This window comes from Homo sapiens, chromosome 7 (genome assembly GCF_000001405.40).
Source record: "Homo sapiens chromosome 7, GRCh38.p14 Primary Assembly".
In the NCBI taxonomy this organism is placed as follows: Eukaryota; Metazoa; Chordata; class Mammalia; order Primates; family Hominidae; genus Homo; species Homo sapiens.
In genome coordinates, this window is record NC_000007.14 from 13032231 (window position 1) to 13045335 (window position 13105).

At 36.7% G+C, this 13105-nt stretch overlaps 1 long non-coding RNA gene across 1 annotated transcript in view; it reads left to right on the plus strand.

Moving 5' to 3' along the window:
* Positions 1-13105, plus strand: part of LOC105375158 (uncharacterized) — a 130320-nt gene that overhangs the window by 100553 nt on the left and 16662 nt on the right. The window contains exon 2 of the long non-coding RNA XR_927044.3: positions 11236-11342. This is a non-coding gene — a long non-coding RNA (uncharacterized LOC105375158). The remainder of the gene's footprint in view (positions 1-11235; positions 11343-13105) is intronic.

Sequence of the window (13105 nt, forward strand, 5' to 3'; positions counted from 1 at the left end):
ACAATTGGAAGGGATCTTTGCAGATCAAATTGCTGAAAGGCTTTTTAGATTTGGCCTCCCTTAGCTGTGTGATGCTCTCCTTAAGGACACATTGTCTCCTGGCCACCTTCATGCTTGACTTGAACTCTTTTGGACTGTAGACAATGAAGGCAGGAATGCTTTTTTGTGCAGTTTTCCCAAATGAGTGGGTTCCAATTTAGTTCTTAAACTTATAACTAGAGTTGAAAAATAAAATGCAGGTTAAAAATAGCCCAAACTGTTCGTTAACACTCTTGGAAGCAATGTTTTATTTTATCACCTTATTTTTGTTGTACTGTTTTGCCTTTTGTGAGTTTCTAATTACCCTTCCAGTGACCTTCTTCACTGTTGCTCTGATAATAGTCACTTTTTTCATGGGAATTTGGCAAAGGATGTCAGACCATGCTATAACCCTGTTCAGTTGCAGATGGATGAGGTGACGTCTTTTTGCCACCTGCTGGGGAGCAGTTGAGAGGCTGCCTCCTCATTCACCCTGAGAGTCACTGTTGTCTGGAGACTCTCAGGCAGCAATTGTAAATGAGACTCTTCTGTGGCCTCCTTCTTTAAAGCCTGAGCAAGTCTTTCTGTGATGCACTATAATTCTTTTTTCCTGGGCACCAGGATCAAAGTCCTTTTAAACTAGTGTCTCCACAGCCAGAATCAAGCTGGCTTTCTCTCCCGAAAAAAAATGTTTATTTCCATATAAAAAGATGATCTCAGTTCCCCACAGATGATATAAAACCAATCAATCATTTACATATATATTACATCAACTGGTTTTTGTCTTGACAAGAAACAACAATCTCAGCTTCAAACAGCTTTCTTAAATACAATCCATGATTGCATATAGATTTCTTCCCGCATATAGAAAACCTAAGAGAAGCAAAGAAAAAACTGAGTCTGTGTTTATTATTGTTTATTTCATAGGAGAGTTTTCTTTATTCCTCATTTTTCAATAGTGTGCTTTCTACACACTGCACTTAGAGATTTAGTACCCATTTGTGTACTTCCCCATTAGGGAAACTACCTAAAAACATGTCTGTGGTAGCAGGAATTTTATGTGAAAAGAAAATGTTACCTAAATAAAAAAGTAACTTTTGAAGAGCTTTTATTTCTTTAAAAAAAAAACAACAATAAAATTGGGCCACTACCTGGAGGTGTGCCTATCATTTTTATAGCAGCAAAGTCTGAGTTTGTTATTTGAGAAATATTCATAGTGAGAGCAGCAGCTATTATAATTTATAAATGTTTGTTTTCCCTCTTGGATTAATCCCAGAGTGTCAGGGAGAATGAACTTTAACTAAGCATGCACTGGTTTACTAGGAGGGCTGGTGGAATTATAAAGAGAGCAAGGGCTTGAGAAACTATCCCATGGATTTTGAATGCTATTTCTGCCACTTTACATCGGACAATCTCGGGCAAATTGCATATTCCTTAAATCTCAGTTTTCTTGAAAGAAAACCCAACTCTAAAATGAGCAAAAAATTTTCACATTTTCCCAAAAAAGATAAACAAATGGCCAAAAAGCACATAAAACATGTTCAACTTTGACTGGTCTTTAGGAAAATGGAAATAAAACCAAAATAATATATCATTTTATATCCATTATGATGGCTACTATTAAAAAAAGGAAAAATAACAAGTGTTGGTGAGGATGTGAAAAATTAGAATCCTTGTGCCTTGGCGGTGGGAATATGAAATAGTGGCAGCTACTGTGGAAAACAGTTTGCCTCAAAAACTTAACATAGGGTGACCACATGATTCAACAATTTAACTTCTAGATATACTCAAGATAACAAAGCAGGGATTGAAATAGACACTAGTACACAAATATTCATAGCAGCATTATTCACAATAGCCCAAAAGCGAAAATTATACAAATGTCCATCTACAGGTGAATAAATAACATGTGATATACAATGGAATATTATTCAGTCATATGAGGAAATTCTGATACATGCTACAACATACATGAAACTTGAAAACATGGTAAGTGCAGTATGTCAGACAAAAAATGAAAAATATAGTATGATTCCATTTACTTAAGGTACCTCAACTAGGCAAACCAATGTCTGGGGAGACTGGGAAATCAGTAGTTTTTATTTAAGTGGTTCAGAGTTTCTGTTGGGAATGATGAAAAAGTTCTGGAAACAGATGGCAGTGATGGCTGAACAACATTGGGAATGTACTTAATGTGATTGACTTGTACACTCAAAATCGTTAAAATGGTGAGTTTTATGTTATATATTTTACCACAATTTAAAAAAAACCCTCAATTTTCTTCTCAATAAAATTAGAATTTTAATTTTATTAAAATAAAAATGATAACTACCTTACATAAAAAGCATATATATGTATATATATATACACACATATATATATATAGCAAGACCTAGACAAAGTGGCAGACATCTGTGATTTCACTGACTGGCATTACCATACTTTTGGGATCAGTATTCTGATTTCCATTTTGGTAAGCCCACCATCTCATCTGATTTGTTTCACTACATACCAGCTGATATAATTTGGATGTTTCTTGCCTCCAAATCTCATGCGGAAATGTGATTCCCAATGTGGGAGTTGGGCCTGGTGGGAGGTGTATGGGTCATGGAGGTGGATCCCTCATGAATAGCTTGGTGCCATTCTCATGGTAATGAATGAGTTCTCACTTTGAGTTCACCTGAGATCTGATTGTTGAAAAAGAGTGTGGCACCTCCCCTCTCTGTCTCTTACTCTGTCACCATCTGATACATCCAGTCCCCCTTTGTGTTTTGACCCTCACCAGAAGCAGTTGCTGACACCACACTTCCTGTATGGCCTGCAGAACTATGAGCCAAAATAAGTCTCTTTTTAAAATAAATTATCCAGCCTCAGGTATTTCTTTACAGCAACACAAATGGACTAACACAGAAAATTTGTACTGAGAGTGGATGTTGCTATGAAGGTACCTGAAAATTTAGAAGTGGCTTTGGAACTGGGTAACAAGCAGAAGTTGGAAGAGTTGGGAGGGCTCAGAAAAATATAGGAAGATAAGGGAAAGTTTGGAACTTCTTGAGACTTGTTAAATGGTTGTAACCAAAATGCTGATAGAAATATGAATAGCGAAGTCCAGGCTGAGAACATCTCAGATGGAAATGAGGAACTTGTTGAGAACTGGAGCAAAGGTCACCCATGTTACGCCCTAGCAATGAACTTGGCTGCCTTTTGCCCATACCCTAGGAATCTGTGGAAGGCTGAACTTAAAAGTGATGATGTAGGAGAGGCGTCCCCAACCCATGGGCCATGGATGGGTACCTGTCTGTGGCCCGTTAGGAATCAGGCTGCAGAGCAGGAGGTGAGCAGCAGGTGAGCAAGCATTACCATCTGAGCTCTGCCTCCTGTCAAATCAGTGTTGGCATTAGATTCTCACAGTAATGTGAAACCCTGTTGTGAACTCTGTATGCAAGGGATCTAGGTTGTGTACTTCTTATGAGAATCTAATGCCTGATCTGAGGTGGAAGAGTTTCATCCAGAAACTATTCCCCCACCACCAGTTTGTGGAAAAATGCCTTCCACAAAACAGGTCCCTGGTGCTAAAAAGGCTGGGAACTGCTCTCCTAGGGTATCTGGCAGAAGAAATTTCTAAGCAGCAGAGCATTTCAGATGTGGCATGGCTGCTTCTAACAACCTGTGTTTAGATGTGAGAACAAAGAAATAACTTAAAGTTGGAACTTTTAATTAAAAGGCACTAGCTGGGTGTGGTGGCTCATGCCTGTAATCCCAGCACTTTGGGAGGCTGAGGCGGGTGGATCACGAGGTCAGGAGTTTGAGACCAGACTGGCCAAGATAGTGAAACCCCATCTCTACTAAAAATACAAAAATTAGCCGGGTGCAGTGGCATGCGCCTGTAATCCCAGCTACTCAGGAGGGTGAGGCAGGAGAATCTTGTGAACCAGGGAGGCAGAGATGGCAGTGAGCCAAGATCACGCCACTGCACTCTAGCCTGGGCAACAGAGCAAGACTCCATCTACAATACAATACAATACAATACAGTACAGTACAATACAATACAATACAATACATAAAAAATAAAGTAAAATAAAATAAAATAAAATATAAGAAAATGCTCCATGCTTTCTTTACTGCCTGCAGAACCATGAGCCAAAACAAACCTCTTTTCTTTATAAATGACTCATTCTCAAGGATTTTTTTTTTATAGCAGTGCAAATGGACTAACACAACAGCTATAGGTTAGCCCCCAGCTGGCTTAGGGTTTAAGGATAGACTTAAACTCTACATTGATGCAATCAAAATGAACCTTGGAAATCCTTACTGAAATGCTGGGAAATAATGTCTTCCTCTCTCATGGAGTCACAAGGGCAACTGGTGACCATCTTGGGACTGCAGTGGAAAGTTCCCAAGAATGTAACAACATCACAAGTAGACAGAAAAGAGAAATAGAAAAAAATCTATCCTCAGTCTTATGGGCTTAGCTACCAGATCAGGCAGGTTTTACTTAAAGGCAGTCATATCTTGCTCTTTTTCAGTTGAATTAACACATTGCCTTTTCTTCCTTTTTTTTCCCCTTTGCTTATGTTATTTGGGTGTTTATTGGTTATAATGGTTCTTGATATAGTAGGCATTTAATAGACCTTTATGTAATATTTTCTTATCCCAACACCTGAGAAAGAATTTCATCTCCCCAATTCATCCAACCTAACTCAAAGTGAATTCTCCTGTGCTTATACATAGGTCTTTTAATAATAATAATAGATTATGTGAAAATGTGATAGGGTACTTCCATAGAAAGTGAGAATGAGAATGCAAGCAATGTCATATATTTTCATCCTCTAAAATAATATAGGTATCATTTGAATTCCTAAAGAAAAAATGTAATCCAGTCTATCCATATGAGGAACAAGTAGGTAGTTAGTATCTTGTTTATGGATGACCATCACTGTATTTTAAAGATACTGGGGTCTTCTCAGCCTCCTTGTTACAAATAAAAACACTTCAACCATGTAACATCATTAAGATTTACAGGAAAGCCTCATAGTCAGTTCCTATGACTACTCAACAAATCTGGTATTAGCTCCCAAGTGAGATAATCTTAAAATAATGTCATCTGTATAAGAAAGTTTTGTTTAGAACATGGTGGAAAGCCACAAAGGAAGCACCATCCTCTAAGTAGGCAAATTGGATATTATGTCCACGACTGCAAGCTCTTTATCAAAGCCTGTTTATACAAGTTATAAACACTTCTACTGAGCATGTTTAGCTGGTTTTTGAACACTCAGAGAAACTTACAAGTGGAGGAAATATTTGCTACCCTGTCAGCATGTTATCTGAAGTTCCAGAAAGATTTGGGGAAGATTCTTTTTTTCTTTTCTTTCTTTTTTTTTTTTTTGGAGACAGAGCCTTGCTGTCACCCAGACTAGAGAGCATTGGCAAAATTTCGGCTCACTGCCACCTCTGCCTCTGGGTTCAAGTGATTCTCCTGCCTCAGCCTCCTGAGTAGTTGGGATTACAGGTGCATGCCATCATGCCAGGCCAATTTTTGTATTTTTAGTAGAGATGGGGTTTCGCCATGTTGGCCAGGCTGCTCTCAAACTCCTGACCTCATGTGATCCACCTGCTTTGGCCCCACAAAGTGCTTGGATTATAAGTGTGAGCCACTATGCCTGGCCTGGGGGTAGGGAGGATTTTTCAATTTGTGAATAGTGAAACCATGTGGGGAAATATTTCAAATATTCGTGAATCCTAATAGAGCCAAGGAACATTACCAGAGTTTTGAAAAGCCTAATAGCTCTCAATGTGAACACTTCTGTATTCAACTATTAAGCATTTACTTGACATCTACTATATACAAGGCATTCTACCAATCACTTTTGGATATATGGTAAAAATACAGAGTCCCTGACTTCAAGTCATTAAGAAAAAGCTACTGTTTTGTTCATCTCCATTTGGAAGGAAAGGGAACAAGTTCAATTAAAATGGCTCTTTTTTAAAAGTTCTGTTACTGAAGAATAATTATTAAACTCTAAAGAAAAGTCAACTTTATCGAATGCATAGTTTCTCAACAATATTTGAAGTTTTGCAATATTTAAATAAAATATGCTGTACTTAATTTTTTCTGAAGAGGTAAAGTGATTTGGTAGTAAATACGCATGTACATATAAAACTGTATAGTGTTGGGCAAGGACTCTTTAAATATTCTTAGACTTATAATCCATGAACCACTTAAAGCATACTCATGGCCTTTGTTTAAAAAAATTGAGATTTTAGAACCACAAACCATAAAGTCAGGCCTGATAATCTGTATTTAAAATTACCTTCCTAAAATATTCTTGGGCATATTAAAGCTTCAAAATCCCTGATGTAGGTCATCAAGATGAGCAACATGTCCTCATCAACCTACATGTTAATAGACAACTTAGAACATATCTACAAAAGGTGTTAATATTTTTCTGCTTTAATCAATTTAAATTAAATTTTGTTTCGGCTTTAATCATTTTAATCAATTAAAGATGATTGTCCTGAGTTTTCATGAAGGTTTTAGGGAGGCAATGTATTTGAAATACTACCAGTGTGTCTTTTTAATCTTATAATTAATGTTTTCCCCATGTGCTGCCTCCTCTTCAAACACCTAGAATACTCTATCCTTTATGAACCCAGGAGACAGATGTGATCACATAAAAAGTGAAAAAAAAGTAACTTCTTTTTAATGATTTTTATATTTAAAAGCTAATGTCCTTTAGGGGAATAAAGCCAATCTTGGTTTAGAGTGGAATAAATCAGTGGCTCTCAAATGTAGCATGCTTTAGAATCACATGGATAGCTTGTTAAATCATGGATTACACTATCTCTTCCCCCAGTTTTAAAGTTTCTAATTCATAGGTGGGAGTATGGAATTTTTAACAAGTTCTGGGTGATGCCAATTTTGCTTGCACAGGAACTATATTTTTTTAATTTAATGAATACATATTTGAAAATTTTGTGTTTGAGGAGGGTCAAGGTTCTCTTCCTCACCTATGCAATTTTATACTCCCCAGTACCTGATTGACAGAAAAAATTGCCCTAGTTGGGAGAGGGAAATGAGAGATAAAGTGATCAAAAGGAAGCAGCAAAACCCAATATTTGTGAGATCTGAGAGAAAAGTGCACTCTCTGCCTTCAGGGACATAGTGAGACCTAGACTGGCTGCATAATGAGTTCAGGCAGATGGTTTTAGGCACAATCAGAGTGTAGGTCATGCCCTAGAGTAGCATGGAGAATGCAACGTGATTTCCATCACCCAGGGATTTCCATTGTGGGCAAAACTGTTTGGATCGGAAGAGGCCAGGTCACCACCCAAAAGGAAGATCTCCATGATGATATGCGAAAATTTTCTGTTATTCTGTAGATAACAGAAAAGACATTTGAGAACCAGGTAGTTCCTTCCTCTCCAATCCTTTAAAACTAGGTATGGATCCTGGAATTTAGAACTGACCTGGGAAAATGGGGAATCCAAGATTGACTGAGATTAGATTTTTACCACTCCAGTAGTGGATATGGGTTTAAGAACTAAAATAATTTTATAAAATTAAGTTTTATTTCTTACACAACTGAGAAATAAATTGAGAGCCAGATCCACTACATGGTGATTATAATTTGAAGTAATGATGATGCACAATTGGTGTATTTCATGTCTCTGTTTTATTCTTTGACCAGTACTATTTTCTAAAATGATTACAGATTCATTAAAAGAAAAGAAATTAAATTTGAGATACTGAACTCTCCTCTTAAATGATGTTTAGATAAAAATGCTTCATTTCATATCTACCTTTGCTGATAATGTGTCCTTTCATTCACCTAATCTGTGAGCCTGTCTGCTACTCACATCTGATATATTGTTTAGAATGAAAACAAAATAAGTCTAATGGAACAATACCACTCTTGCCTGCTATCTTAGCATTTGCCCAAGTTGCAGTGGTTTCATTTGTAGAAGGAAAATAAAGCAAACATCAGCTTGTCTGTGCCACATGAAATAATTTTAACCTGTGAGATTTTATGTAAGATTACTTTAACCTGTGAGAATTTATGGAGAACATGTGTCTGTGTTTTGACCTAGACAACCATAGTTCTGGTTGTCTAGGTTAAAGCCAAATTCACATCAACATATCTTTCATTTACTGCAAGATTTCAAGATAAGAGATGAAAAAAAGAATTTGGACTCTCTCTTTGTTGACATGCAAATCAAAATGAGATATTCAGCAACCACAAAAATAGATAGAAAACAACAATACAGCAAACCAATTCTAGAAGGAGACAAAGTATCAAACTAAAAGTTAATATAGAAATAATTAAGGCAGCCAGGTGTGGTGGCTCACGCCTGTAATCCCAGCACTTTGGGAGGCTGAGGTGGGCAGATCACCTGAGGTCGGGAGTTCGAGACCAGTCTGACCAACATGGAGAAACCCCGTCTCTACTACAAGTACAAAATTAGCTGGGCGTGGTGGCACGTGCCTGTAATCCCAGCTACTTGGGAGGCTGAGGCAGGAGAATCACTTGAACCCGGGAGGCGGAGGTTGTGGTGAGCTGAGGTAGCGCCAGTGCACTCCAGCCTGGGCAACAAGAGCAAAACTCTGTTTCAAAAAAATAAATAAATAAATAAAAATAAAAGAAAAGAAATAATTAAGGCAAAACTGACATTTCTTTATTAATATAACACTGCGCAATAAGTTTAAATTGATTTCATAGCAAGGGGTGTTATTAAGTTAGTCTTACAACAAACTAGAGAGAAAAATCAATTGTATCATCAAAAGTTATTTTGAAATTTTAGAATTCAAAATAGAGGGCAAAGAAAACAATACAAAAGCAAAATGAAATAAAAAACATTGCAACTCAGATTTTCACATTCTTTAGGTGTTAGCATCTGACATAGAAAAGTTTTTTTTACAAGTATTGTGATGAAAAATTTAATTCACCTATATGTTGGCTTATTTTAATTCATTTAATTGCAGTCAAGACACAGTTAGGTCCACATACTACATAGTGATAAAACAAGGGAAGTTTGTTTGTGGCAAATCTCTTATTATGTAACTTTTATATATTACGTGGCCAGAAATTCTCACCTTGATCCTCACTATTTTTTTGTTTCAGTAAAATATTTTTTAAAAAAAAAAGTCATGAAAAACTTTATGTAGTGTTTAATACGTTAAGACATATGATTTTTAAAAACTTTGTAATCAATATTGGTCACTATTGTCTGTCTCTGCCACATGCCACATCTCTCCTTAACCTATTTATAGCCTTCAGATTTCTGTTTTTAGTTCGTGATGGTTGTCATTGTCACTGTATGTGTGTGTGTGTCTGTGTGCGTGTGTGTGTCTGTGTGTGTGCATGTGTGTGTAGTCTCATTTTGTTATTATGTCCTCTGCCACTTTCTTTGTAAATGCAAAGAGGGATAAAAATTAAGCTTAATATGAAGCAAGTACTTGGCACCTGCTTTCAAAGAACTGTGAATCATAAATGGAAGACGGTTCATTCGGCTACCTCATAACTGTATTTAAGACCAGCCTGCCGGGTGCGGTGGCTTATGCCTGTAATCCCAGCACTTTGTGAGGCCGAGGTGGGCGGATCACTAGGTCAGGAGTTCAGGATGAGCCTGGCCAGCCTGGTGAAACCCCATCTCTACTAAAAATAGAAAAAATTAGCCTGGCATGGTGACGTGCGCCTGTAGTCCCAGCTACTCAGGAGGCGGAGGTGAGAGAATCGCTTGAACCCGGCAGTGGGAGGTTGCAGTGAGCCGAGATCGCGCCACTGCACTCCAGCCTGGGCGACAGAGCGAGACTCTGTCTCACAAAAAAACCCAGCCTGTGGATTATTTTAAATGTTACACTTTTCTATCCTGGATTCTCTGTTTGTTTATTGTTTATATGTTCTGTTTGTCCATCGAATTTTCCTATTTCTTGAATCGTTGTCAGCATATTATCCTTTACTCATTTTAACGTAGTTTTTCTTAATTTTTGAAATGTATTTGTAATAGCTACTTTGTAACTATTTTGTAGCAATCTTTGCTTAATCCAACATAGGGTCCACTCAAAATCACTTTCTATTGACTAATTTATTCCATATGCTTTTCAAATATGCATTTCCACATCACTCCTAAGTTTCTGGTCAAAGCTGGACAATTTTATGTGATATACTATAGTAAGACTGGATTTTGATTGCTTTTTCTAAAGGTTTTTGGATATTATTTTATTTTGTGATTTTGTTTGTGCCTGTACTTAAACTGTGGGATCTGTCTTGCCATGGTATTCAGCTATTTATATCTCTTTACAATATTTTTCTTCTTTTTTAATTCCTGATTTCCAGGGGTCATTTCCTTGTAGGCACTGCTATGTGATTAACCAATGGTTTGGGCAGAACTTACAGTCAAATGCCTCAAACCTATGAGGCTTCTATTTGACAATGTAATTGTGTATAGGTAAAAGAAAAACATTCAAAATTCAAGCAACTTTAAAGTCTGTTTCAGCTTTTACTTTCTGCCAGGCCCTTGGATCTCTCCTGCAAATATGTGTAATTTCTGAGTCAGCCAGGAATGTGTGCTTACCTACTCTTTCTATGGCTTTCTTATTTACAGGGTGTCCCTGTTACATTTCTGGATCATGCATTGCTTGTCCCAATTGGGACAGTAACCTCATGGTTGCAGAGATACAGGTTTTACTATTTGTTTCCTACTGAACTTGTTACTTTCACTGACAACACTACTAGACATTTGGTTTTACACTCTGCTCACAGTTGGATTATACCTTCTGCCTGTGCTGTATGCTGCCCAGCAAGGATGGGACTGTAGATTCCCATTGTTATTAGCCAGAGATCTAGCAGCTTTGTATGTGTAAACACTTCTCAATGTGTGCTTTCCCATTGGTCAAATGCTAGAGCCCTGAAATTGATATTACATTTTTTCCCAGGTTTTCACTAGTTTTGGGGGAGAGGATTCCCTTACTTATACTAATGTTACTAAAATTGTTGTTCCATTCTTTTATTTTTTTTTAAGAACCTCTGATTCAGAAATAATTTGAGATTTACAGGGCAGTTGCAAAGACAGCACAGACAGTTCTTGTGTATTTCTCACATTTCTTCCCCTGTGTAACATCTCATATAACCACAGAATTTAAAAATTAACATTTGTAGGATTTTTAGACTCTATTTGGATTTCAACAGTTTTCCCATTGGTTTCCATTTTCTGTTGCAGGATTGAATTCACAGGTCCATGTTGTATTTCGTTGTCATGTCTCCTTGGTTGGCAATATATGAACGTATCTCAGTCGTGGAAGACATTGACACTTTTGAAGAGTACAGGTCAGGTATTTTGCAGAATGTACCTTAACTGGGGTTTTCTTATGATTAGACTCGGGTTGTGGAATTTGGGGAAGAATATCACAGAGGCCAGGTGCCCTTCTCATCACATAGTATAGGGGTACATGATATCAACATGACTTATGACTGGTGACGTTCACCTTGATCTTTTGATTGTAAGGCAGTGTCTGTCAGGTTTCTCTACCGTAAGCTTTACAGTTTTTCCCTCTCCATACTTAGTTCATTAGAAGTAGGTTACTAAGTTCAGCCCACAGTTAATGGAGAGAGAATTATGCTATATCACCTGGAAGGAGGAAGGAATATCAAAGTTTAAAGTTGTGTCAAAACCACGTGGTAATGAATAAATGATTTAAGGGAGGTATTTGAGACTCTTCTGTAAATATCTATTTCTTCTTAAAGTTTTATTCACTAATTTTTAGCATTAATCAGTGAATCTTCACTGCAATAATTATTACTGTGGTATTTAATGGTGATTTAAAACAAATTTACTAATTCTATATTTATTATTTGGATTTTTCTGTAGGCATTATTTTCTATTATTTTTGAAACCAGTTTTTCTGCCTCATTTATTTCAAAACATAATTCCTCAGATTCACCATGAATTGTACAACACTGTGGCTTTAAACATACGTGCCATGGGAATAGTCTGGAATACCTTTCTCCTGTCTTGTTATCAAACACGTTTTACTGCAAGAATCAATGAAATGCTCTTACTAACGTCTGAAGTCTTGACTTACAATTTTTACCATCTTTAGGAAAATGATTATACTATGGATTTGTGTCTTCAAAAAAGATATATTGAAATTCCCAGTATTTCAGAATGATACCTTATTTGTAAATGAGGTCATTGCACATATAATTAGTTAAGATGAGGTCATACTCGGGTAGGGTGGTTCTGTTATCCAACAGGACTGGTATTTTTATGAGAAAAAGACACAGAGACACACAAGGGGAGAGCTCCATGTGACAACAGAGGCAGAGATGGGAGCTGCAAGCCAAGGAACACCGATTGCCAGAAACCATAAGGAGCTAGGAAGAGACAAGGGAGATTTTTCCCCTGCAAGTTTCATAGGGAGCACAGTCCTGCTGATACCTTGATTTTGGACTTCTAGTCTTCAGAACTGTGAGACAATAAATTTCTGTAATTTTAAATCACCCGGTTTGTGTTACTTTGTTACAGCAGCCCTGTGAATCTACTACAATTTACAAAACAACACAGTTTAGACCAAAATGTGAAATATTAAGTTAAACTTGTCACAGCCTCAGAATGTGTAACTCTAAAATTAAAATTGGTTGAATGCCCTTTTTAAATTTTAGAAACTCAGAGAAACGCTGGCTTTTTCTTTGGCATAGAATTTTATTTAAAAGATTAGTCCCCAAGTTCGGAAAATTTGTAGTATATTTATGTGATGTCAATGAGAACACATATCATTTTAAGAGATATGTAGATGTTGACATCATTGTAAAGAATGAATTTAACTGGAAAGTGAAAAAGTTAATCAGTATGCCTTTGAAAACAGAAAGATCATAGGAATTAGCTTGTTTTAATATTTACATATTTTTGAAACTAGGGAAAGACAAAAAATTATAGAGTGCATGGTTTGAAAGATGGATTTAGAAATTATCCTATTACTAATTAAAATTACTAATTATTAAGTAATTATATTACTAAATTACACATTGTTTAATGTAACTAACATTCATTAATTATCCAATATGTGCCAGGCACGGTGCAAGGTGCTGGA